General features: G+C 45.4%; 1 protein-coding gene and 1 long non-coding RNA gene across 10 annotated transcripts in view, besides 1 other annotated feature; one reads left to right on the forward strand and one right to left on the reverse strand.

The window, feature by feature from the left end:
* LOC105374555 (uncharacterized) overlaps positions 1–20,879 on the reverse strand; it is a 36,950-nt gene extending 16,071 nt beyond the window's left edge. For 3 of the 4 annotated variants that reach the window (XR_001739432.2, XR_001739429.3, XR_001739430.2), the window contains exons 1-2: positions 20,804–20,879; positions 18,259–18,382 (exon numbers count right to left, since the gene is read on the reverse strand). This is a non-coding gene — a long non-coding RNA (uncharacterized LOC105374555). Of the gene's footprint in view, positions 1–3,986; positions 4,123–18,258; positions 18,383–20,803 lie in introns of all 4 variants that reach the window. The other variant, XR_001739431.2, reaches the window with a different exon arrangement.
* The window catches only part of MTA3 (metastasis associated 1 family member 3), a 262,837-nt gene that overhangs the window by 104,895 nt on the left and 132,237 nt on the right, over positions 1–25,705 (forward strand). For all 6 annotated transcript variants that reach the window (NM_001282755.2, NM_001282756.2, NM_001330442.2 and 3 more), the window contains one exon: positions 10,454–10,580. In NM_001282755.2, coding sequence (NP_001269684.1) covers positions 10,454–10,580 — 127 coding nt within the window. The remainder of the gene's footprint in view (positions 1–10,453; positions 10,581–25,705) is intronic.
* Positions 7,105–7,856: an enhancer, noted in NCBI's record as "H3K27ac-H3K4me1 hESC enhancer chr2:42833249-42834000 (GRCh37/hg19 assembly coordinates)". NCBI's record gives its function as "activates a minimal SCP1, AML or CMV promoter by ChIP-STARR-seq in naive H9 embryonic stem cells {active_cell/tissue: H9 hESC(naive)}" and the evidence as "EXISTENCE:reporter gene assay evidence [ECO:0000049][PMID:30033119]".

Consider the following 25,705-nt stretch of genomic DNA (forward strand, 5'->3'; position numbering starts at 1 on the left):
TCTTGACACCTAGGAATGTGGAGAATGGTTGTGGCTGCTCTCCTTTTTAACTTCGTTTGCTAGTGGTGACAGCTCAGGGCTCAGGACGGTGGCTAATGTCCCATATCCTTTCAGTGTACCTCATGCCAGTTCCTTTCCGCAAGTTTTTCCTGAGCCAGTGTTGCATCGTGTCCATGTTTATAAGACTTCTATGAGTCTTTAAAGCTGCACATGTTTTCATATTATGGGGATTTGTGCATCTTTCTAGCAACATTATAAAAATAGTTGGCTAGCCAAACTTGCTTTACATTTAATAGTAGTGGTACCGGGCGCGGCGGCTTATGCCTGTAATCCCAATCCCAGCACTTTGGGAGGCCGAGGCGGGTGGATCACAAGGTCAGGAGATCGAGACCATCCTAGCTAACACAGTGAAACCCCGTCTCTACTAAAAAAAATACAAAAATTAGCCGGGTGTGGTGGCGGGCGCCTCCAGCTACTCAGGAGGGTGAGGTAGGAGAATGGCGTGAAGCTGGGAGGTGGAGGTTGCAGTGAGCCGAGATTGCGCCACTGCACTCCAGCCCGGGCGACAGTGTGAGACTCCATCTCCAAAAAAAAAGAAAAGAGTAGTGGTAATTCATGTGGGTGAAACTGCAGTTCCTGACAGGAATTAATTTCATCATGGTAGAAAATTATTCAAGGTTAAGATGTTGTAAAGATATCCCTAAAGATAACAAAATAAAATATTTTATTTCCTGTTTTTGTTTAATTCTTTTTGTCATTAAGGTATAATATGGTTGACTCATTTGGTGGGTTTTTGTAGCTTAAGGAGTTTCATTTCTTCTTTTGTTTAGGTGGTTTTCAGACTACTCTGTTCTCTATACAGTTAGGGAAATGTTTTCCATTTCAAGACTTTTTAAAAAACTTGCTTATGGGCCAGGCATGGTGGCTCACGCTTGTAATCCCAGCACTTTGGGAGGCCGAGGCGGGCGGATCACGAGGTCAGGAGATTGAGACCATCCTGGCTAACACAGTGAAACCCTGTCTGTACTAAAAATACAAAAAAAATTAGCTGGGTGTGGCGGCACATTCCTGTAGTCCCAGCTACTCAGGAGGCTGAGGCAGGAGAATCGCTTGAACCCAGGAGGCAGAGGTTGTAGTGAGCCAAGGTCGCGCCACTGCACTCCAGCCTGGGCAACAGAGCGAGACTCTGTCTCAAAAAAAACAAAACAAAACAAAAAAACTTGCTTGTGGTTGTCTGTCTTTTCATATGAACAGCTGTAAAGGGGAAAGGGCAACAGGATTAGAAGAAATTTGTTAGTGAAGGGCTCCCAGAATGAAATGTACTATAGCAGATGGTTGCAGGAAGTGAAGTTATAATCCTTTACCCTCCAACTGATTCTTATTTCCATTTTGTCCATGGTAGACTATTAATTTTCTGACTTTTGGTTTCCAAACTGGTTAAAGGTTTGAAAAAGGTTACATCCTATAGTATATATGGCCCATGTTTCTTTTTATTAATTTTTTTTTTTTTTGCATCCCCTTTCCCATTCAGGCCCATGTTTCTTTGTTTTGTTTTGAGACCGAGTCTTGCTCTGTCACCCAGGCTGGAGTGCAGTGGTGTGATCTCCGCTCACTGCAACCTCTGCCTCCTGGGTTCAAGCGATTCTTGTGCCTCAGTCTCCTAGTAGCTAGGATTACAGGGATGCGCCACCACACCTGGCTGATTTTTGTATTTTTAATAGAGATGGGGTTTCGCCATGTTGGCCAGGGTGGTCTTGAACTCCGGACCTCAGCTGATCTGCCTGCCTTGGCCTCGCAAAGTTCTGGGATTACAGACGTAAGCCACTGTGATTAGCTCAATGGTTCATTTCTTTTACATCTTTTATTTGCTGAGTAGAGTTTGTCTCTGGATTTTTTTCTTTTTTCTTTTTTTCTCTTTTTGAGATGGAGTCATGTTCTGTCGCTTAGGCTTGAGTGCAGTAGCGTGTTCTTGGCTCACTGCAACCTCCGCCTCCCGGGTTCAGGTAATTCTCCTGCCTCAGCCTCCCGAGTAGCTGGGACTATAGGCATGCGCCTCCACGTCCGGCTAATTTTTGTATTTTTAGTAGAGACAGGGTTTCACCATGTTGTCCAGGATGGTCTCCATCTCTTGATCTCACGATCTACCCGCCTTGGCCTCCCAAAGTGCTGGGATTAAGGTGTGAGTCACCATCCCTGACCCATTTTTTATTATTATAAATCAACTTGAACTTTGTTCTGGGATGCATTTAAGTTACTTGGAAACAGCCTGATGTTTGGTTGTTGCATCTGTGATTTGTTAAGTGAGTGTGGAGCAGTGCTCAGCCTGGGGCTTAATTATTCCCTCTTACAGAGGCAAGACCTTTTTGTGTAGTCTATCCAATACGCTATGAACTATTAAGTTTTTCCAGTGTGGCTGTTTGTAAATAAATACTGCTCACAACACTGTGTAAGCACTGAGCACTGCCTTGTCTGTTTTGTTGTTGTTGTTTTGAGGCAGGGTCTCCGTCAAGTGACCCTCTCGCTGGTGCGTGCCGCCACACGACTAACTTTCTAAGTTTTGTTTTGTAGACATGAGGTGTTACTATATTGCTCAGGCCAGTCTTGAACTTCCAGGCTCAAGGGATTCTCCCACCTCGGCCTCCTGAGTAGCTGGGATTCCAGGTTCACGCCACGAAGCCCACCTAATTTTTTTTGAGACAGAGTCTTGCAGTGCTGCCCAGGCTGGAGTGCAGGGTTGCGATCTCAGCTCACTGCAACCTCCACCTTTCAGGTTCAAGTAATTCTCCTGCATCAGCCTCTGGAGTAGCTAGGATTTCAGGTGTGCACCACCACTGCCAGCTGTTTTTGTCTGATCCCATGGAGTCTTGCTCTGTTGTCCAGGTTGGAGTGCAGTGGGATGATCTTGGCTCACTGCAACCTCCACCTCTCGGATTCAAGGAATTCTCCCACCTCAGCCCCCTGAGTAGCTGGGATTACAGTCACCCACCACCTTGCCCGGCTAATTTTTGTATTTTTAGTAGAGGCGGGGGTCTTGCCATGTTGGCCAGGCTGGTCTCGAACTCCTGACCTCAGGTGATCCACCCATCTTGGCCCCCCAAAGTGTTGGGATTACAGGCGTGAACCACTGCCCAGTCCTAATTTTTGTATTTTTTTGTAGAGATGGGGTTTCATCCTGTTGCCTAGGCTGGTCTGGATCTCCTGGGCTCAAGCTGTCCACCTGCCTCGGCCTCCTGAAGTGCTGGGATTACAGGCGTGAGCCACCATACCCAGCCTTAGTTGTTGTTCTCCTATTACTGAACATTTGGCTTATTTCCAGTTTTTGGCTACTGCAAATAAAGCTCCTATGAACATTCATGTACAGGTCTTTTGGTGTACTTATGCTCTCATTTCTCTTGGGTAATTACCTAGGAGAAACATTGTTGGTTCATGTGGTGGAAGAAACTTGTCACAGAAATTTTACTTCAGTAGATTTTGCCACACAGATTCCCAAAGTGGTTGGACCAATTTTTCACTTCCTCTGTTAATGTATGAGAACTCCAGTTGGTCTATGTTCTTTCAGTCTTTTAAATTTTTAGCTATTATGGTACCATAAGTTTAATGCTTCATTTGGGTAATATGAGGGCTAGGGTGATCAAATTGTCCTCATTTGCTGGGGACTGAGGGGTTCTCTAAATGAGGGATTTTGAGCTTTAAAACTGGGAGACACTCCCTAATGAGGTTTTTAGCTGAGTTAGCAGGATGTGAAGGGAAAAGCAGTAAATTCCCTCAGTCAGACCAAGCCCAAGTACAGATACCTGGGCTATCCTTATCCAGAGGAGTGTTCTCTAATTACCAAAGACAGGGGCCCAGCCATCCACCCCCTTTCCCTTCTGGTGTCCGTTCAGACTGATTTCTTCAGAGAAGCCTCTGCTGGCTCATCAAGCTACATGACATGAATTTCCTCTGTCATGCTTCCAGAGTATGCTGTGTAATTTTATAGTACTCACCAAATCTGAAGGTATATATTCTTGCCTGGAATCCAGGATGGACTGTAATTCAGGGTAGGACTTTTATGGCTTCCTCATAGCCTCAGAACACGTTGGTAGGCACATCAATAAATTTACTTTTTTTTTTTTTTTTTTGCTGGGGGTAGGGTGGAAGGGAGAACACAGGTCCTTGTTAAAACATGTGGCAAGGCAGATTGTTAGATGTATAAGCCGTGAAAGTTTAGTTTTTACCCTAATGGTGGTTGGTTGGAAGTTATTGAGGCCTTTTTATCAAAACGGGAGAAATAGAAATTGTGTTTTAGGAAGCTGCTTGCTGGGGTGTTAATGAATTAGAGGATGGATGGTGCTCTGTTGGTGCTAGATAATTTGGTTCTGATTCTTTGTTTTAAAATTGATAGCAAGTGAAAAATAGTACAGTAGCATGTTGAGACTATATAAAATTCCATATGGACTTGGAATTTATTACAGTATTGGGCAGCTTTTGCCCGATGCAGTGTTCTTTGAATAAATATAAAGCAGAAATAGCTTAAATTTCTGATGGGATCCTGATTTGCTATAGAATAACTGATGAGTCCTTGTATCTCACACTGTGGAAATAAAATTTCTGTGGTAAATTTCTTAAAGTCAGTAAAGTAAAAAACTCATACTTAGCCAATTTTTGGTTTTCATTTAATATGTACTTTAAGGTAAGATTTCTTTTGCATTTAGTTCAGCAGTTCCTGAAATCCTTTCCAGGGGGTCTATGAGGTCAACACAATTTTCTTTCTTTCCTTTTTATTTTCTTTTGAGACGGAGTCTGGCTCTGTCACCCAGGCTGGTGTGCAGTGATGGCTCACTGCAAGCCCCGCCTCCCGGCTTCACGCCATTCTCCTGCCTCAGCCTCCCCACTACCTGGGACTACAGGCGCCCACCATCTCACCTGGCTAATTTTTCTATTTTTAGTAGATACGGAGCTTCATTGTGTTAGCCAGGATGGTCTCGATCTCCTGACCTTGTGATCCGCCTGCCTCGGTCTCCCAACGTGCTGGGATTACAGGCGTGAGCCACCGCACCCAGCTCTTTGTTTTTGAAACAGAGTTTTGCTCTTGTCGCCCAGGCTGGAGTGCAATGGCGTGATCTTGGCTTACTATAACCTCCGTCTCCTGGGTTCAAGCGATTCTCCTGCCTGAGTCTCCAGAGTAGCTGGGATTACAGGCTCCCGCCACTATGCCCAGCTAATATTTTGTACTTTTAGTAGAGATGGGGTTTCACCATATTGGCCAGGTTGGTCTCAAACTCCTGACCTCAGGTGATCCACCCGCCTCGGCCTCCCAAAGTGCTGGGATTACAGGCATGAGCCACTGCGCCCGGCGTCCAGTGTAACTCTTAAGTTTAGTCTCCCATCCACTTTGTGTTAAATCTTGAAAGAAGAATTTTGAAAAGCACTGGAATGAAATGTGAAAAATAAAGCCCCTTTTACAGTAACTTATTGATGTTTATGTTCTGCAGTGTTTTATGCTGTAACTTTGTGAGTCTATCCTTGCTGCTGCTGAATTTAGTGTTGCTCGATAATTCTTACTTGGTCTGCTCTGAATGTTTCTTTTCTTTTTTTTTTTTTTTAATTTATTTTTTTATTGATAATTCTTGGGTGTTTCTCACAGAGGGGTATTTGGCAGGGTCATGGGACAATAGTGGAGGGAAGGTCAGCAGATAAGCAAGTGAACAAAGGTCTCTGGTTTTCCTAGGCAGAGGACCCTGCGGCCTTCCGCAGTGTTTGTGTCCCTGATTACTTGAGATTAGGGATTGGTGATGACTCTTAACGAGCATGCTGCCTTCAAGCATCTGTTTAACAAAGCACATATTGCACCGCCCTTAATCCATTTAACCCTGAGTGGACACAGCACATGTTTCAGAGAGCACAGGGTTGGGGGTAAGGTCACAGATCAACAGGATCCCAAGGCAGAGGAATTTTTCTTAGTGTAGAACAAAATGAAAAGTCTCCCATGTCTACTTCTTTCCACACAGACACGGCAACCATCCGATTTCTCAATCTTTTCCCCACCTTTCCCGCCTTTCTATTCCACAAAGCTGCCATTGTCATCCTGGCCCGTTCTCAATGAGCTGTTGGGTACACCTCCCAGATGGGGTGGTGGCCGGGCAGAGGGGCTCCTCACTTCCCAGTAGGGGCGGCCGGGCAGAGGCGCCCCTCACCTCCCGGACGGGGCGGCTGGCCGGGCGGGGGGGCTGACCCCCCCCACCTCCCTCCCGGACGGGGCGGCTGGCCGGGCGGGGGGCTGACACCCCCACCTCCCTCCCGGACGGGGCGGCTGGCCGGGCAGAGGGGCTCCTCACTTCCCAGTAGGGGCGGCCGGGCAGAGGCGCCCCTCACCTCCCGGACGGGGCGGCTGGCCGGGCGGGGGGCTGACCCCCCCACCTCCCTCCCGGACGGGGCGGCTGGCTGGGCAGAGGGGCTCCTCACTTCCCAGTAGGGGCGGCCGGGCAGAGGCGCCCCCTCACCTCCCGGACGGGGCGGCTGGCGGGCAGGGGGGCTGACCCCCCCACCTCCCTCCCGGACGGGGCGGCTGGCGGGCGGGGGGCTGACCCCCCAACCTCCCTCCCGGACGGGGCGACTGGCCGGGCGGGGGGCTGACACCCCCACCTCCCTCCCGGACGGGGCGGCTGGCCGGGCGGGGGGCTGACCCCCCCACCTCCCTCCCGGATGGGGCGGCTGGCCGGGCGGGGGGCCGACCCCCCCACCTCCCTCCTGGATGGGGCGGCTGGCCGGGCAGAGGGGCTCCTCACTTCCCAGAAGGGGCGGCCGGGCAGAGGCGCCCCTCAGCTCCCAGACGGGGCGGCTGGCCGGGTGGAGGGCTGACCCCCCCACCTCCCTCCTGGACGGGGCGGTTGGCCGGGCAGAGGGGCTCCTCACTTCCCAGTAGGGGCGGCCGGGCAGAGGCGCCCCTCACCTCCCCGACGGGGCGGCTGGCCGGGCGGAAGGGCTGACCCCCCCACCTCCCTTCCCGGACGGGGGCGGCTGGCCAGGTGGGGGGCTGACCCCCCCACCTCCCTCCCGGACGGGGCGGCTGGCCGGGTGGGGGGGCTGACCCCCCCTCTCCCTCCCGGACGGGGTGGCTGGCCGGGCTGAGGGGCTCCTCACTTCCCAGTAGGGGCGGCCGGGCAGAGGCGCCCCTCACCTCCCGGACGGGGCGGCTGGCCGGGCGGGGGGCTGACCCCCCCCCACCTCCCTCCCGGACGGGGTGGCTGCCGGGCGGAGACTCTCCTCACTTCCCAGATGGGGTGGCTGCCGGGCGGAGACGCTCCTCACTTCCCAGATCGGGTGGCTGCCGGGCGGAGAGGCTCCTCACCTCTCAGACGGGGCAGCTGCCGGGCGGAGGGGCTCCTCACTTCTCAGACGGGGCGGCCGGGCAGAGACGCTCCTCACCTCCCAGACGGGGCGGCGGGGCAGAGGCGCTCCCCACATCTCAGACGATCTCCTCACATCCCAGATGATGTGCGGCCGGGCAGAGACGCCCCTCACTTCCTAGATGTGATGGCGGCTGGGAAGAGGCGCTCCTCACTTCCTAGATGGGATGGCGGCCGGGCGGAGACGCTCCTCACTTTCCAGACTGGGCAGCCAGGCAGAGGGGCTCCTCACATCCCAGACGATGGGCGGCCAGGCAGAGACACTCCTCACTTCCCAGACGGGGTGGCGGCTGGGCAGAGGCTGCAATCTCGGCACTTTGGGAGGCCAAGGCAGGCGGCTGGGAGGTGTAGGTTGTAGTGAGCCGAGATCACGCCACTGCACCCCAGCCTGGGCACCATTGAGCACTGAGTGAACGAGACTCCGTCTGCAATCCCGGCACCTCGGGAGGCCGAGGTTGGCGGATCACTCGCGGTTAGGGGCTGGAGACCGGCCTGGCCAACACAGCGAAACCCCGTCTCCACCAAAACCAGTCAGGCGTGGCGGCGCGTGCCTGCAATCGCAGGCATTCGGCAGACTGAGGCAGGAGAATCAGGCAGGGAGGTTGCAGTGAGCCGAGATGGCAGCAGTACAGTCCAGCTTCGGCTCCGCATGAGAGGGAGACCGGAGGTAGAGGTAGGGGTAGGGGTAGGGGTAGGGGTAGGGGTAGAGGTAGAGGTAGAGGTAGGTAGAGGTAGAGGGTAGAGCTCTGAATGTTTCTTGAGGTTCACTTTTACCCCGCAAGTAAAATAGGGTGGATACAAAGATAAGTGACCTGTCATTGTTCTCAAGGGATGCAGTGAAATCAGTTAACTGTAGAGTAGAGCAAAGCATACTGTGAAGTACCTTAAGCGTATGTGGGTGCTGCTTTGTAGCAAAGAGGAGTCTCCCGCTGGAGATTGGTGAGAGTCTCATGGATCAGACTCTGGCTCAGAGGCATTGTTCAACTTTATTTATTTATTTATTTCGACATAGGGTCTTGCTGTATCGCCCAGGCTGGAGTGCAGTGGTGCGATCTCAGCTCACAGCACCTTCCACCTCCTGGGCTCAAGCGATCCTCCTACATCAGTCTCTGAGTAGCTGGGACCATGGGCTTGGCTAATTTTTGTATTTTTTGTAGAGATGTTTGGTCTTGAACTCCTGGGCTCAAGCGATCTGCTTGCCTCAGCCTCCCAAAGTGCTGGAATTGCAGGCATGAGCCATCACACCTGGCCTGTCTAACTTTAAATTTATCTTTTGAATTCTCTTTACTCTTCATCCACTCTAATAATTGATTTATCTCACACCGAGGTGGACAGATTGCTTGAGCTCAGGAGTTCGAGATCAGCCTGGGCAACATGATGAAACCCTGTCTCTACTAAAAATACAAAAATTAGCCAGGTGTGGTGGCACACGCCTGTAATCCCAGCTACTCAGGAGGCTGAGGCAGGAGAATCACTTGAACCCGGGAGATGGAGGTTGCAGTGAGCCGAGATTGTGCTACTGCACTCTAGCCTGGGTGACAGAGCGAGACTCCGTCTAAAAAAAAGTTATACAAATACATAAATGAAATTTGAAATTTAACTGGTAAATTTTAAAAAGTGGTTTTCATTAGTGATCTGCATCATGAGAGATGCCGTTGTGATTTTTGTCTTTGGTTAGGTTGGATTTCAGTGATTTTGGTCCTTTTTATGGTGAACCAAGGGATCGTATAAGAACGTAAGATTTACTGTTGCTGTTGTAGAGCTGGTTGCTGTTTTAGCTCTGTAGGGTATGCATTAGAATTCAGTTAGCTGTGTCTTATACAACAACAATTTGTCAAATCCTAATTAGGTAAAGAGTGTAATTTTGTATGTGATATTTTCTAGTGCTAATAGTGCCAATGCAGCAGCAACTTTATCAATCTTCACTGGTGAAATGTTATTAGACCTGCAAGTAAATGGCCCTTTTAGTGCTATATTTCTCTTTGAGTAGTTCATTAAAAAGAATATCCAAAGAATTTTAAATTGCTTTATTCTTGCTTTGAGCTAGGTGCATCTTTTTCTAAGTTACTGTTTAAGGTTCATTTTCAATTCAGTTTTAAAAGTTTGAAAGTAGAAAAGATCTGATACTTACTCCATTCATTACCCTCATGCTATTCATAAAGAACTACTTCAACAAGAGCATTATATTTGATAAAATCCCTTCTGTGAGGTTGGGTGTGGTGGCTCATGCCTGTAATCCCAGCACTTTGGGAGGCCAAAGCAGGCAGATCACTTGAGCCCAGGAGTTCGAGACCAGCCTGGGCAACATGGTGTAACGCTGTCTCTACTAAAAATACATAAAGTTAGCCAGGTGTGGTGATGTACGCCTGTAATCACAGCTACTCTGGAGGCTAAGGCACAAGAATTGCTTGAACCTAGGTGGTGGTGTTTGCAGTGAGCTGAGATTACACCACTGCACTCCAGCCTGGGCGACAGAGCAAACTCTATCTCCGAAAAAAAAGTGAATTAATTTTTAAATTGATATGTAATATTTGTGTATATTTTTGGGGTACCATCTGCCATTTTTAAGTTGGAATTTTTCTTCTTTTGAGGCCCTGATAATTTTATGGTTATAGTTGAACTGACAAGATAAATGTTTAATTTTTTTTTTTTTTTTTGAGACAGATTCTTGCTCTTTCACTCAGGCTGGTGTGAAGTGTACGATCTTGGCTGACTGCAAACTCCACCCCCTGGATTCAAGCAGTTCTCCTGCCTCAGCCTCCCGAGTAGCTGGGATTACAGGCGCCCACCACCATGCCAGGCTACTTTTTGTATTTTTAGTAGAGATGGGGTTTCGCCATGTTGGCCAGGCTGGTCTCAAACACCTGACCTCAGGTGATCCACCTGCCTCAGCTTCCCAAAATGCTTAGGATTACAAGCATGAGCCACTGCACCTGGCAAATGTTTAAATTTAAAATTGATTAGTTTGAAGAAAATATTGAATAAAATGTTGATTTGATCTGTTTCAATATCCAAACAGATAATGTGCTTTGTACTAATAAATTCTTTGAATTTTATTTGTGTAGAAGAAATTGAGGAAGAATCTGAAACAACAGTTGAGGCTGACTTGACCGATAAGCAGAAACATCAGTTGAAACATAGGGAACTCTTTTTGTCACGCCAGTATGAATCTCTGCCCGCAACACATATCAGGTAAGAACTTTTTAGGAACTAAGGTACTCAGTACTACGGTGACCAAAAAACAAAAGACTTCTTTGAAGCGTTTTCCAGACTCTTCTCAGGATCTTGCTTAAACTACTTTGCTAAAGGCTTCATAATGGAATTTTAGGTTGGAAATTTATAATGTGTATTACCATATTAAAGCCCCACAAAAGTTCTCCAGTAAAGTAACCATTTTAACTTTGTTTTAATAACAGACTTTCCTGGCCAGGCGCAGTGGCTCACGCCTGTAATTCCAGCACTTTGGGAGGCTGAGGCGGGCGTATCATTTGAGGTCAGGAATTCGAGACCAGCCTGGCCAACACGGTGAAACCCCATCTCTACTAAAAATACAAAAAATTAGCTGGGCGTGGTGGTATGCACCTGTAATCCTAGCCACTCAGGAGGCTGAGGCAGGAGAATTGCTTGAATCTAGGAAGCAGAGGTTGCAGTGTGCTGACATCGTGCCACTGCACTCCAGCCTGGATGACAGAGTGACACTCTGTCTTTAAAAACAAACGAAAAAAAACAATAAGACAATAAAAATCGGGCCTTTCCCGATTGATTTGAATATCTTTTCAGAATGGTACAGAAGAGGGTCTAGCAGACATCATTTTGGGAAATGCTGGTCTTCCAGGTTCTAAGAAAATTATATAGCCATTAGAAGCCAAAGGTTAGAACCTAAAATCTGCTTCCCAGGCAGGTGACTCTTGACCTTATAGGATATATGGCTTTTTGTTTTCTTTTGAGGATCACTGGGATGAAAACTTTATATTCTTTACTATTCCTTAATAACACCTGATGTATGCATTGATAGCATACAAATGTGCAGAAAAAAGGTGACTGATTTGGGCGATATCTCTGGTTCTCTAACATGGACCACCCTTCCATTAATTAAATTCTTTTTCTACTGCAGAAAAAACAAAAAGTGAAAAAACCTAGCCCCTTGTTTGTCGTTTTGGCAGTTGTTGAGGAAAAACGGTGGTTTTCTATGATCTACTGGTGGTGATCAAATTTAAGATATTGTTGAGCTTTTTTTCATTGTAGTGTATAATCAGTGCATCTTAGAGGTATTACAAAATGTTTGAGCTCAAAAGATTCTTACCCTCGGTCAGGAAAGCTTCAAGAGGAATTGCTACTTACTCAGCCTTCCAGAGAGTATGAGGCACAAATAGAGGGCACAGGTGAGCATAGGGTGTATGAAAGCAGCAGCTTGTGACCAGGGTAAGGATGTGTGAGCAAGTGCAGTGTTTCACTCCTCTTAGGTTAAAGAAATGCCTTCAACTTTTGTTCATAATCTGTATTTCTATTTCTTTTGTCCACCTCTGCTGGTCATAATGGTCCTTAAAAACTATATATATAGACATAAAATGCATTATTTCTTTTCTTTTCTTTTTTTTTTTTTTTTTGAGACGGAGTCTTGCTCTGTCACCCAGGCTGGAGTGCAGTGGCGCGATCTTGGCTCACTGCAACCTCTGCCTCCCGGGTTCACGCAGTTCTCCTGCCTCAGCCTTCCGAGTAGCTGGGATTACAGGCACATGCCACCATGCCCAGCTAATTTTTTGTATTTTTTTAGTAGAGACAGGGTTTCGCCATGTTGGCCAGGCTGGTCTCGAACTCCTGACCTCGTGATCCACCCGCCTCAGCCTTCCAAAGTGCTGGGATTATAGGTGTGAGCCACTGTGCCCAGCTGAGGTTTGTAGACTTTCTAAAGCTCTGGTACTTAACACATACACACACACACACACACCCCCTCACACACATGCTCCAATTCCTGATACCTTTGTGCACAACTCCTTTTTTATAGAAATGGACCCAGAGATCTTCCATGGCAGGAAGTATGTGATAAAGATACTGGAATTTCTTTGTCTCCAAATCTTGTCAGAAATAATGTGAGCCCTCACCCCCATAGAAAACCTCATGTCATTGTTTTTATTTGGTTTTGTTTGTTTTTGTTTTCTAAATTGAGATGCAGTCTTTGGGAGGCCTAGGTGGGAGGAGGATTGCATGATGCCAGTAGTTTGAGCCCAGCCTGGTCAGTAGAGCAAGACCTTGTCTCTACCAAAAATATAAAAATTAGCTGAGCGTGGTGGTGTGTGCCTGTGGTCCCAGCTAATTGGGGGGCTGAGGTGGGAGGATTGCTTAAGCCAGAAGTTTGAGGCTGCTGTGAGCCACAGTTATACCACCACACCCTAGCCTGGGGGACAGAGTGAGACCCTATGTGAAATAAATAATAAATAGGTGAGATAGATAAATAGATAGATAGAGAGATATGGAGCTGGCTGTGTTGCCCAGATTGGTCATGAGCTCCAGCAATCTTCTTGCCTCAGTCTCCTGAATGGCTGGGACTACAAGTGCTTTCTGCTATGGCCTGCTATTTAGGATTTTTATTAGGGGGCACTATGGTTAGATTTGCTAGGGTAAGTATATTCTGTATAACTTAAGTCATTTGCTGGAAAAGACAGTTAGGCCGGGTAATATGGGAATAGTCTTTTTATCGACCAATAATGCTTTTTCAAGAAAGAAAAATAGTAGGTGATTAATTTTTGTTCAAAGAGATGGAACATAAAAACGTGACATTTTCTTAAAGTTGTGTGTAACTAATGATGCTAAAGAGCCATATGCACTTTTTATCGATTGACTGTGCGGGATCCTGCTTTGTTGCCTAGGCTGGAAAGTAGTGGCATGATCATAGCTCACTGCAGCCTTAAACTCCTGGGCTCAAGCGATCCTCCCACCTCAGCCTCCCGAGTAGCTGGGACTACAGGCTTGTGCCACCATGCCTGGCTAATTTTTTATATTTTTTGTAGAGATGGTGTCTTGCCATGGTGGCCAGACTGGTCTTGAACTCTTGACCTAAAGTGATCTGCCCACCTTGGCCTCCCAAAGTGCTGGGATTACAGGTGTGAGTCATGAGCATGGCCTCCATTTATTTAATTGGAAGACACTAGAATATAAAGATTAATTTTAAGTTTAAGAAGTTATGTGGGGCTGGGTGTGGTGGCTCACACCTGTAATCCCAGCACTTTGTGAGCCAAGGCAGGTGGATCCCTTTAGGTCAGGATTCTGAGACCAGCCTAGCCAACATGGTGAAACCTCCTCTCTACTAAAAACACAAAAATTAGCTGAGCATGGTGGCACATGCCTGTAATCCCAGCTACTCTGGAGGCTGAGGCAGAAGAATCATTTAAACCTGGGAGGTGAAGGTTGCAGTGAGCCAAGATCGCACTACTGTACTCCAGCCTGGGCAACAAGAGAGACTCTTGTCTCAAAAAATAAATAAATAAATAAATAATGAAAAAGAAGTTACGTGGCCAGTCTTAAGACTCTTGCCAGAACAAGAATCTGACAAATGGTTTTAAAAATGTATCTAAAAGACACAAGTATATTTTTAATTTACTCTCCTGATAGCTTGAAATCTGTTTATAAGTAACGTTGGTTTCTTTTAACAGATTGCCTGGAATGGAAAAACTAGTGATGTGTTTTTTGTCTTCCATAAGGACTGAGAGAGTATATTAAAATATAATTATCAAGACACTTCTTTGTTGAACATAGAAATTACATAGTCTACATGATCGTTTAGTTACTGTTGAACACATTTCCTGAGTATATTCTAGCTTAGGGAGCTTAATAAGTGCTTGATAATTGAGACAAGGGACCTAGCTTATAAATTCAGTGAGTTTACCGGGTGGTAATTCCTTTGAATTATGATGAAGAGACATAGACATTTGGGGCTTTTTGTTTTTTTCCAAATTGAGGAGGAATAGGGCAGAGCCGAGTTTTCTCATTTTAGCTTTGTTTAGCCATCATTTTTAAACAGCTGAATGGGGTTAGGGGCAGTCCCTGGCCAAGGCATGGAGCTGTGCTAACCAGCCCACATGCTGATGTAGAACAAGTGCACATTGGAGTGGTCTTGACATTTTGCTAATGTTGAAGTCATGCCTTATCTTTTTGGCTTTAAAAGGAGAAAATTATCAAAGCCCCATCGTTCTTTGGCAGCAAAGAGGGTAATTTGGTGAATACTGATGTTTTACTCTCAGGGACACTATCAAGTGCCCAGAATTTCCTTGGTGCTCTTTGGAACATAGAAGAAAACCTGACTGAGGCATTCTTGAGTTGCTTTTTAGTCTGTGAACTATAATATTCATGAGACGCTTAACACTTCCCAAAGTGGCAGGGAGGAAACTCTTTGTTTCTTCTGATTCCACCGGAAGAGAGAGTGGACAGGACCCAGGACTTTTCGGAGTAGAGTTAGTGATTCATCTCTTGTTTGTGAGATAGATGGGGCTTGAGTAGTGAGTATCCCTTTGGGACATTTTTTTGAGGGGAAGTGAGAGGCAGCATGCTTCATTTATGCACAGTGATTGAGGTCGCTGAATAATAGATTATATGTTGCAAACATTATTAAGCACTATAAGCCTTGTTATGTCAGCTGCTAGATATCATATGTATTTATTTTACTATATTCAGTTCCAATATGTGTGTATGACTTAATATCTTCATTAATAGATTTTCTTTTTTTCTGAGACGGAGTTTTGCTCTTGCTGCCCAGACTGGAGTGCAGTGGCACGATCTTGGCTCACCGAAACCTCTGCTTCCCGGTGGTAGGTGATTCTCTTGCCTCAGCCTCCCGAGTAGCTGGGATTACAGGCAAGTGCCAGCACACCCGGCTAATTTTGTATTTTTAGTACAGACGGGGTTTCTCCATGTTGGTCAGGCTAGTCTGAAACTCCCGAGCTCAGGTGATCTACCCGCCTCAGTCTCCCAAAGTGCTGGGATTACAGGCGTGAGCCACTGCGCCCAGCCTGATAGATTTTCTTACTACAAATATTCAATAACTTTTAAATTTGTATCATCTGACTTACAAATATCTTTTCATTGTGCATTCATTCATAAGTAGACTGAAAATTTGTAAATTTGAGATGGGCAACACAACTCCTCACAATTATGTAGCTATTTCTTTTATCTCATCTCTAAACCTACCCTTCCATTATCTGCTTTGTGATGCTCGGGCTGTTGTACTCATTATATTAATATATAACCCAGTCTTATATATAACTCGTGTAATATAGTGAATTCGGCTTTAAAATATTCTAATATTCAGCTGGGTGCAGTGGCTCATGCCTGTAATCCTAGGACTTTGAGAGGCCGGGGTGGGAGGATTACATGAACCTTGTAGTTAAAGACCAGCCTGGGCAACATTGGGACACCCTGTCTCTATAAATAATAAAAAAATTAGCATGGCATGGCAGCGTATGCCTGTATTCCCAGAAGTATTTGGGAAGTTGAGGTAGGAGGATTGCTTGAGCCCAGGAGTTCAAGGCTATAGTGAGCCATGATTGTGACACTGTACTTTAGCCTGGGTGACAGAGCAAGACTCTGTCTTAAAAAAAAAAAAAACAAAAAGCAGAAAACCTAGGCTGGGCACGGTGACTCATGACTGTAATCCCGGCACTTCTGGAGGCCGAGGCAGGTGGATCAACTGAGGTCAGGAGTTGAAGGCCAGCCTGGCCAACGTGGCGAAACCCCATCTCTCCTAAAAATACAAAAATTAGCTGGTCATGGTGGCACGTGCCTGTAATCCCAGCTCCTCTGGAGGCTGAGGCAGGAGAATTGCTTGACTTCATCTTAGATTATAAGGTTCTTGAAGATCTATTGTCTGTTTTTTTCTTTTTTTTTTTTTTAATGTTTACTATGGAACACTGTATCCAATAGCCATTCAGGATTTGAACCTTGTATAGTGTTTACATTTAATTTTACTTTTATTTTTTATTTTTTTTGATGGATTCTCGCTCTGTCACCTAGGCTGGATCTGGGCCTAGTGCTGCGATCTCGATTCACTGCAACCTCTGCCTCCCAGGTTCAAGCGATTCTCTTGTCTCTGCCTCCCTAATAGCTGGGACTACAGGCATGCGCCAGCGTGCTCAGCTAATTTTTGTATTTTTAGTAGAGACAGGGTTTCACCATGTTGGCCAAGATGGTCTTGATCTCATGACCTTGTGATCCGCCCACCTCGGCGTCCCAAAGTGCTGGAATTACAGGCTTGAGCCACTGCGCCTGGCCAATTTTACTTTTATTCTTTAAGGAAATAAGTCACCACAGATACTTGAATAATCTCTTCTTTTTTTTTTTTTTTTTTTTTTTTTTTGAGACGGAGTCTCGCTCTGTCGCCCAGGCTGGAGTGTGGTGGCCTGATCTTGGCTCACTGCAAGCTCTGCCTCCCGGGTTCACGCCATTCTCCTGCCTGAATCTCCAGAGTAGCTGGGACTACAGGCGCCTGCCACCATGCCCGGCTAATTTTTTGTATTTTTAGTAGAGACAGGGTTTCCCCATGTTCTCCAGGATGTTCTTGATCTCCTGACCTCGTGATCTGCCCACCTCAGCCTCCCAAAGTGCTGGGATTACAGGCATGAGCCACCGTGCCCGGCCGTACAGGCGTGAGCCACCGAGACTGGCCGCTAATAATCTCTTCTTTGTTTTTGTTTTTGAGACATAGTTTCACTCTCATCACCCAGGCTAGAGTGCAGTGGTGTGATCTCGGCTCACTGCAACTCCGCCTCCCGGTTTCAAGCGATTCTCCCACCTCAGCCTCCCGAATAGCTGGGATTTACAGGCATGTGCCACCACGCCTGGCTAATATTTTTGTATTTTTAGTTGAGACGGGGTTTCACCATGTTGGCCAGGCTGGCCTCGAACTCCTGACTTCAGGTGATCTGCCTGCTTTGGCCTCCCAAAGTGTTGGGATTACAGGCGTGAGCCATTGCACGCCTGGCCTAGGTGGTTCTATTTAGAGTTCATTTTAGATTATAAGATTCTTGAAGATCTCTTGTCTTTTTTTTTTTTTTTAATGTTTATTGCGGAACATTGTATCCTACAGCCATTCAGGATTTGAACCTTGTATGGGGTTTACATTTAATTTTGCTTTTATTCTTTAAGGAAATAAGCCATTCACAGAAATTTGATTAATCTCTTCTTCTTCTTCTTTTTTTTTTTTTTTTTTTTTTTTGAGACAGGGTCTCACTCTGTCACCCAGGCTGGAATGTAGTGGCACAATCATGGCTCACTGCAGCCTCGTCCTCCCTGGCTGAGATGATGCTCCCACCTTAGCCTCCTGCATAGCTAGGATTACAAGCTCACGCCACTATGCCTGGCTAATTTTTGTATTTTTTGTAGAGACGGGGTTTCGTTGTGTTGGCCAGGCTGTTCGCAAACGATCGCTGCTGGTCTCAAGCGATCCTCCTGCCTTGGCCTCCCAAAGTGTTGGGATTACAGGCGTGAGCCATCGTGCCTAGCTGAGTAATATCTTCTTAATTGCAATTGACTTTAAATGTAATTTTAGATTTCGTGCTTTTTCTTTTTTTTGCTCACACTCTGAGCAAGGGTGGCTTGTTCTGAGTCAACCTCGGACTTTTAAATGGAATACTAGACAGAGAATAGGAAAGCTTTTTTGTATACTCATTATTTGTTGTGAAACAAAACCAATTTAAGAGCAATTTGCAGCAACCATGAGAAAGGGATAAATAGGAAAGGTTCTAGCCTATAAGAATTATTTAGGAGAGAGAATACTGTAGTTCTTATCTTAATATCCAGTATTGGATGGAGAAATAGATACTCTTCTTGTCAGAGTATTAGTATAACCAGAAAGATCAGTCAAATTGCAATGTGTACATACCCTTTGAGCCAGCAATTCTGCTTTTAGGACTTGATCTTACAGAACTTCTCACACAAGTTTGTAGAAATATACATACTGATGTGTTCATTGTAGATTTGTTTTATTTTTTCTCTGAGTTTTCTTGCTAGGAAACAATTGTTTTAATATCAAAAAATGTTTTGATATAAAAAAAGCAAGCAAATGTTATCTTTATACTTATAGTTTTCCTGAAATGAGTAGATAGATATATAATGGGAAAAGGTATTATTTTAAAATTTGCATGTTTGAGGCCGGGCATGGTGGCTCAAACGTGTAATCCCAGCACTTTGGGAGGTCACCAGCCTGACCAACATGGTGAAACCCCATCTCTACTAAAAATACAAAATTAGCCGGGCCTGGTGGCGCATGCCTGTAATCTCAGCTACTAGGGAGGCTGAGACAGGAGAATCACTTGAACCCGGGAGGCGGACGTTGCAGTGAGCTGAGATTGTACCATTTCACTCCAGCCTGGGCAACAACAGTGCAACTCTGCCTCTAAAAAATAAAAAAAAAAATGCGTAAAATAAAATTTGCACATTTGGACATCAGATAGAGAAAATGCCACTTTACATCTATTTTTATTCCCCTCCTCGCTTGACAGTATGGCTGGTTCTGATGAAGGGAGCATTGATAGAAATCTGCTGAAAACAACTCTTTTTTTAAAAAAAAAAAAATTTAAATAGAGATGTGGTTTTGCTCTGTTGCCCAGGCTGATGGGCAATGGAGTGATCATAGCTCACTGTAGCCTCAAACTTCTGGGCTCAAGTGATCCTCCCACCTCAGCCTTCCAAGTAGCTGGGACTGCAAGTGCACACTACCATACCTGGGTAATGTAAAAAAAAGTTTTGTTGGAGAGAAGGTCTCACTATGTTGCCCAGGCTGGTCTTGAACACTTGGCCTCATGTAATCCTTCCACCCTGGCCTCCCACCGTGAGTGAACCACCATGCTCTGCCCGAAAACAACTCTTAATCTTCCCTTTCCTAGTAGTAAAAACGTAGTCACGTTAAGTGTCATTATCATTTGAGAACAGACCTTTTTCTAACTTAGGGGAACATATTTCAAATATTTTTGTTACAGAATGCTAATCCTTCAAGAATTCTGTCAATTTCCTCCCGGTAATGTATTATGAATATGTTCATTTTGCTGTTACTTCAGCATTAGCTGTATGTTAAAAATTTTAAATAAACTTATGTGTATTTTCTGGTCATAAAAACAATATAATTTATTGTTGACATGTAGAAAATATAGAAAAAGACACTACTTCTCTCCTTATCTGTAATTGCATTGCGCAGAAGTACTACTGACATTTTGGTATATCATTAATGCATTTTTTTTCTATTTTTTGAAACAGAGTCTCGCTCTGTTGCCCAGGCTAGAGTGCAGTGGCGTGAACATAGCTCACTGTGGCCTCCACCTCATGGGCTCAAGTGATCCTCCTGCCTCATCCTCTTGAGTATCTGGGACTACAGGCATGTACCACTATGCCTGGCTTATTAAAATAATTTTTTTGGTAGAGTTCGGGTCTCATATTATTGTCCAGGCTGGCCTCAAACTCCTGTCCTAAAGTGATCCTCTTGCCTCGGCCTCCCAAAGTATTGGGATTACAGGTGTGAGCCAGTGAGCCTGGCCCATTTTTCTTTTCTGTAATAATTGTATGTGTGCTCACTGCTGGATTTTGGCAACATCTGACTGACAGAGGAGCCTCATTACTTGCATTGGTAGCTGCCTCTCATGTTAAGTAATGCTTATTCTTCAGTGCACCTGTTGTCATTTTTGCTTGTTCTAGCTTGGTTGGTTGGTTTTTAAATACGTGAGAAATAATGATTGCAAAATGAACAACGGAACAGCAAGAGGAGAGAGAACAGTTAAAGGCTGGGAAAATTCCATTGTTCAGTAGTTGATAGATGTGACTGATAAGTTTGATACAGATAAAGGAGCAGAATGGAAGTTGAGTAAGCAGAGTGGTGACTCAGAAAGAGCACTCATGAAAAAACTAACCCAGTGTCACTGTTTTGGAATAGACAAAGATTTCTTAAGATTGTGAAGATATTCTCAAGTATATTCATCTAGATGCTTTACTGTTCCACTTTTTGTATCTTAGTCAGTTTTACTCAGTGTGTATGTGGTGTGAGGCCAGGTCAGTTAGGAAACTCAATTTAAAATGATATTTATATTATCCAGAAACATCAAATGAATCTAAAGAAAGATCTGTAAAACCTCTACATACAAAGTAAAATATTGCTGAAAGAATTAAAGAAAAGTTAAATAAATGTGGGATATATCATTACAATATTTGAGTTTCCCCCACATTGACCCAGTGATTCAATGTAGTTCCAAATAAAATCTCAGCAGGATTGTGTGTGTATGTATAAATTGAGAAGTTGATTCAAAAAAAGGGAAGGACTAACAACAATGAAAATAAGGATTTTTCAAATTATTATTTCTTTATGCCCAGATGTCCCCCAAGACTTTTTCCGAGGGTTTATGAAATCAAGACTATTTTCATAACAGTAAGATGTTACTTACCTTTTTTCTGTGTTGATTTTGCTCTCCTGGTGCCGTAGCACAAATCCGTGGTACCAGGCCGAGCTAGTTAGTAGTTGTGTTCTAGAACGCTGTGCATTCACAGTTTAAGAAAAAAACAAAGGCAAGTTCTACTTAAGAATGTTCTTGGCAAAGTAGTATAATTTATTAGCTTTAATAAATTTTGGCCCTTCTTTATAATTGAGGTGAAATTCATATAACATCAGATTAACCATTAACCATATACAGTGGCATTTAGCACGTTGACAGTGTTTGCAACCATCACCTCTGTATTGTTTCAAGACATCACACATCTTTTTTTTTTTTTTTTTTTTAAAGAGTCTTGCTCTGTCGCCCAGGCTGGAGTGCAATGGCGTGATCTTGGCTCACTGCAACCTCTGCCACCCACGTTCAAGTGATTCTCCTGCCTCAGCCTCCCGAGTAGCTGGAATTACAGATGTGCACTGCCACGCCTGGCTTATTTTTGTATTTTTAATAGAGACGGTGTTTTACCATGTTGGCCAGGCTGATATCAAACTCCTGGCCTCAGGTGATTCCACCTGCCTTGGCCTCCCAAAGTGCTGGAATTACAGGAATGAGCTACCGTGCCCTGCCGACATCACACATCTTGACCTGTGAACTCAGAAGTACACCTAAACCCACTTCTGTTGCATATTGATGTGTGATGGTTTTCTTTTCTTTTTGAGAGATAGGGTCTCGCTCTGTTGCTCAGGCTAGAGTACAGTGGTGTCATCACGGCTCACTGCAGCCTTGACCTTCTTAGCTCAAGCAATCCTGCCACCTCAGCCTCCCAATTAGCTTGGACCACAGGTGCACGGTACCATGCCTGGCTAGTTTTTAAACTTTTTGTAGGGATAGAGTCTAGCTATGTTGCCCAGGTTGTTTCTTAAACTTCTGGGTTCAAACAGTCCTCCCATCTTGGCCTCTCGAAGTGTTGGGATTACGGGGATGAGCCACTGGGCCCAGCTGGTTAACTCGAGAAAACATGGGATTGTTTGAATCGTGAGCTGAACTAGCTGCCTTTTTCTTGGAATACCATTTTTACTTCAAGATAATCACTGAAAGCTAAACTATGTTTATTTAGACATGGGTATTTTATCAGCTTTTTTTGAAAAGTCATGGTTATTTCATAGATATTCATGTGAAACTCTAGTTGTCAGCCATTCACAATGTAGACATACATCAAAACATCATGTTGTACACTGTAAATATACAATTTTTATTTGTCAGTTATACCTCAGTAAAGCTATTAAGGTAGACATTGAAGCAATTTGCAAAAATGTGAAACAATGTTACTCTTATTAGAGTTTTTTTTTTTTTTTTTAATTGATCATTCTTGGGTGTTTCTCGCAGAGGGGGATTTGGCAGGGTCATAGGACAATAGTGGAGGGAAGGTCAGCAGATAAACAAGTGAACAAAGGTCTCTGGTTTTCCTAGGCAGAGGACCCTGCAGCCTTCTGCAGTGTTTGTGTCCCTGGGTACTTGAGATTAGGGAGTGGTGATGACTCTTAACGAGCATGCTGCCTTCAAGCATCTGTTTAACAAAGCACATCTTGCACCGCCATTAATCCATTTAACCCTGAGTGGACACAGCACATGTTTCAGAGAGCACCGGGTTGGGAGTAAGGTCATAGATCAACAGCATCCCAAGGCAGAACAATTCTTCTTAGTACAGAACAAAATGGAGTCTCCTATGTCTACTTCTTTCTACACAGACACAGCAACAATCTGACTTCTCTATCTTTTCCCCACATTTCCCCCTTTTCTATTCGACAAAACCGCCATCGTCATCATGGCCCGTTCTCAATGAGCTGTTGGGTACACCTCCCAGACGGGGTGGCAGCCGGGCAGAGGGGCTCCTCACTTCCCAGACGGGCGGCTGCCAGGTGGAGGGGCTCCTCACTTCTCAGACGGGGCGGCTGCCGGGCGGAGGGGCTCTTCACTTCTCAGACGGGGCGGCTGGGCAGAGACGCTCCTCACCTCCCAGACGGGGTCGTGGCCGGGCAGAGGCGCTCCCCACATCTCAGACGATGGGCGGCCAGGCAGAGATGCTCCTCACTTCCTAGACGGGAAGAGGCGCTCCTCACTTCTCAGACTGGGCAGCCGGGCAGAGGGGCTCCTCACATCCCAGACGATGGGCGGCCAGGCAGAGACGCTCCTCACTTCCCAGACGGGGTGGCGGCCGGGCAGAGGCTGCAGTCTCGGCACTTTGGGAGGCCAAGGCAGGCGGCTGGGAGGTGGAGGTTGTAGCGAGCCGAGATCACGCCACTGCACTCCAGCCTGGGCAACATTGAGCACTGAGTGAACCAGAGTCCGTCTGCAATCCCGGCACCTCGGGAGGCCGAGGCTGGCAGATCACTCGCGGTTAGGAGCTGGAGACCAGCCCGGCCAACACAGCGAAACCCCGTCTCCACCAAAAAAAATACGAAAACCAGTCAGGCTTGGCGGCGCGCGCCTGCAATCGCAGGCACTCAGCAGGCTGAGGCAGGAGAATCAGACAGGGAGGTTGCAGTGAGCGGAGATGGCAGCAGTACCGTCCAGCTTCGGCTCGGCATGAGAGGGAGACCGTGGGGAGAGGGGTAGGGGGAGGTAGAGGGGGAGGGGGAGGGAGAGGGATCTTATTAGAGTTTTATATTTGTTTCGGGAAATAGTAATTATTCATAACAAATACTTGCTAATTTGTAATATGTTTTTATTTTAAATTAGTAAATGTTAAGTTTCTTCTCAGTTTTAATTTCAACATGGTAAATGTTGATACATATGTATCCAACGTAAGTTCTTTGAGTACCTCAATAGGTATAAACGTAAAGGAATCTTTTTAAAAAAATTTTTGCCTATTTTTTTTTTTTTGAAATGGGATCTTGTTTTGTTGCCCAGGCTGATCTTCAACTCCTGGCCTCAAGTAATCTTCCCACCTTAGTCTCTCAAAGTGCTGGGATTATAGGTGTGAGCTACCACACCTGGCCTCCATGTAAGAGAATCTTGAGAACAAAAGTTTTGAGAAGCGTTGACAAAGTCAGTCTTGACAAACAAAAGTGCTGGAGGACTTACGTTGCTTATATCATTAGATTGGAAGACACTTGTAAAGTTAGAATAATTAAGATACGGTATATTAGTAAGTGAATTGAAAAATAAACCAATGAAACAATACAAAAGCCAGAAGAGATTCACAAGTATAATACAACTTTGTTTATGACAAAGTCTCCATGGTAATGTAATGAGGAAAAGGTAGTTGTTTTAGTAAATGGTACCAAGTCAGTTGGGTGGTATATGGTGGGCGTGTCTTGCCAGACAGCAATAACTCAAGCATACCTTGAGAATGATCCTGTGTTCCTTGATGAATGTTTGTTTAGTGTTCCAGTAATGGCCAACCCTGATGTTTATGCCATACCTGTGAAGGACACCTGGATCCTGGCGTGTGCCTTGGAATGCAGGTGGTCCAAGGAACTGAGGCCCATTGTTTTCAGCTAGGTGGAGGCTGCTAAGTGGTGGTTGCTATGCGAAGGGTACTTGCTGTAAAACCTGCATGCTTTTTATAAAAGGGAATGGTTTTTCCTGTCCAGCCTTCCCCTCCTGGACTCCCTGGACATAAGTTCCCTGAATAAAGCTTATGTCACGCCGCTGTCTTTGGGTCTTTTCTTCAGTCCTCTAGAGGCAGTGCTCTCCTAGCTTGCAAGCTTGGGAATCCAGCACAACAGGTGGCCACAGCAGGGGAAATGTTAGGACTTCCCTTTTCCTTCTCTTTCTTTTTCCTTGGCTAGTTTTTGTTGAAGAAACTGGGATTTTGTTTCCTTTTCACTGTTTGGATTTTGCTGATTGTATCCCCATGGTATTTTACCATGCCCCTTGAGTTTTCATCTTGGTAGTTCAGATTTTTTTTTTTTTTTTTTTGAGACAGAGTCTGTCGCCCAGGCAGGAGCAGTGGCACAATCTCTGCTCACGGCAAACTCCGCCTTCCAGGTTCAAGCCATTGTCCTGGCTCAGCCTCCCAAGTACCTGGGACTACAGGTGTGCGCCACTACACCCGGCTAATTTTTTTGTATTTTAAGTAGAGACGGGGTTTCACCATGGTGGCCAGCTGGTCTCGAACTCCTGACCTTAGGTGTGATCCACCGACCTTAGGTGTGATCCACCCACCTCGGCCTCCCAAAGTGCTGGGATTATAGGCTGAGCCACTTCGCCCGGTCTGGTAGTTCAGATTTAAAGGTATGGTTGGAGGGGTAAAAGGGAGGAACAAACGCAAGAGACAGAAAGATGGTGATATCTAACGAGAAGTGTATAGTTTGGTTGTTGCTTTTTAGGATGTTACTGGAAGTCAATTATTGCCTAGTGATCCATAATTCAGACTTTTCTTTGTTTAGTATTTGATTTTATTTTTATTTCAATAAAACTGAATTACTTTTATAATAAAATACAATAATTTTTAATATTATTTTTGGATTTTTATTAATTTTCATTTTGTATCTTAATGTATATTAACTTTAATTTTTAATTTTTTAATTTTTTATTTTTTGAGATGGAATCTTGCTCTTGTTGCCCAGGCTGGAGTGCAGTGGTGTGATCTTGGCTCACTGCAACCTCCACCTCCTGGGTTCAAGCAGTTCTCTGCCTCAGCCTCCTAAGTAGCTGGGATTACAGGTGCCTGCCACCACACCCAGCTAATTTTTGTATTTTCAGTAGAGACAGGGTTTCACCATTTTGCATTTTGGCCAGGCTGGTCTTGAACTGCTGACGTTGTGATCCACCTGCCTCGGCCTCCCAAATTGCTGGGATTACAGGTGTGAGCCACTGTGCCCAGCCTCTTTTTTTGTTTTTAATGTGTATTAACTTATAGCAGAGCTTCTCAACTTTGTCAGACTCAATCACTCTTTTAAATATTTTGTA

This window comes from Homo sapiens, chromosome 2 (assembly GCF_000001405.40).
Source record: "Homo sapiens chromosome 2, GRCh38.p14 Primary Assembly".
Lineage (NCBI taxonomy): Eukaryota > Metazoa > Chordata > Mammalia > Primates > Hominidae > Homo > Homo sapiens.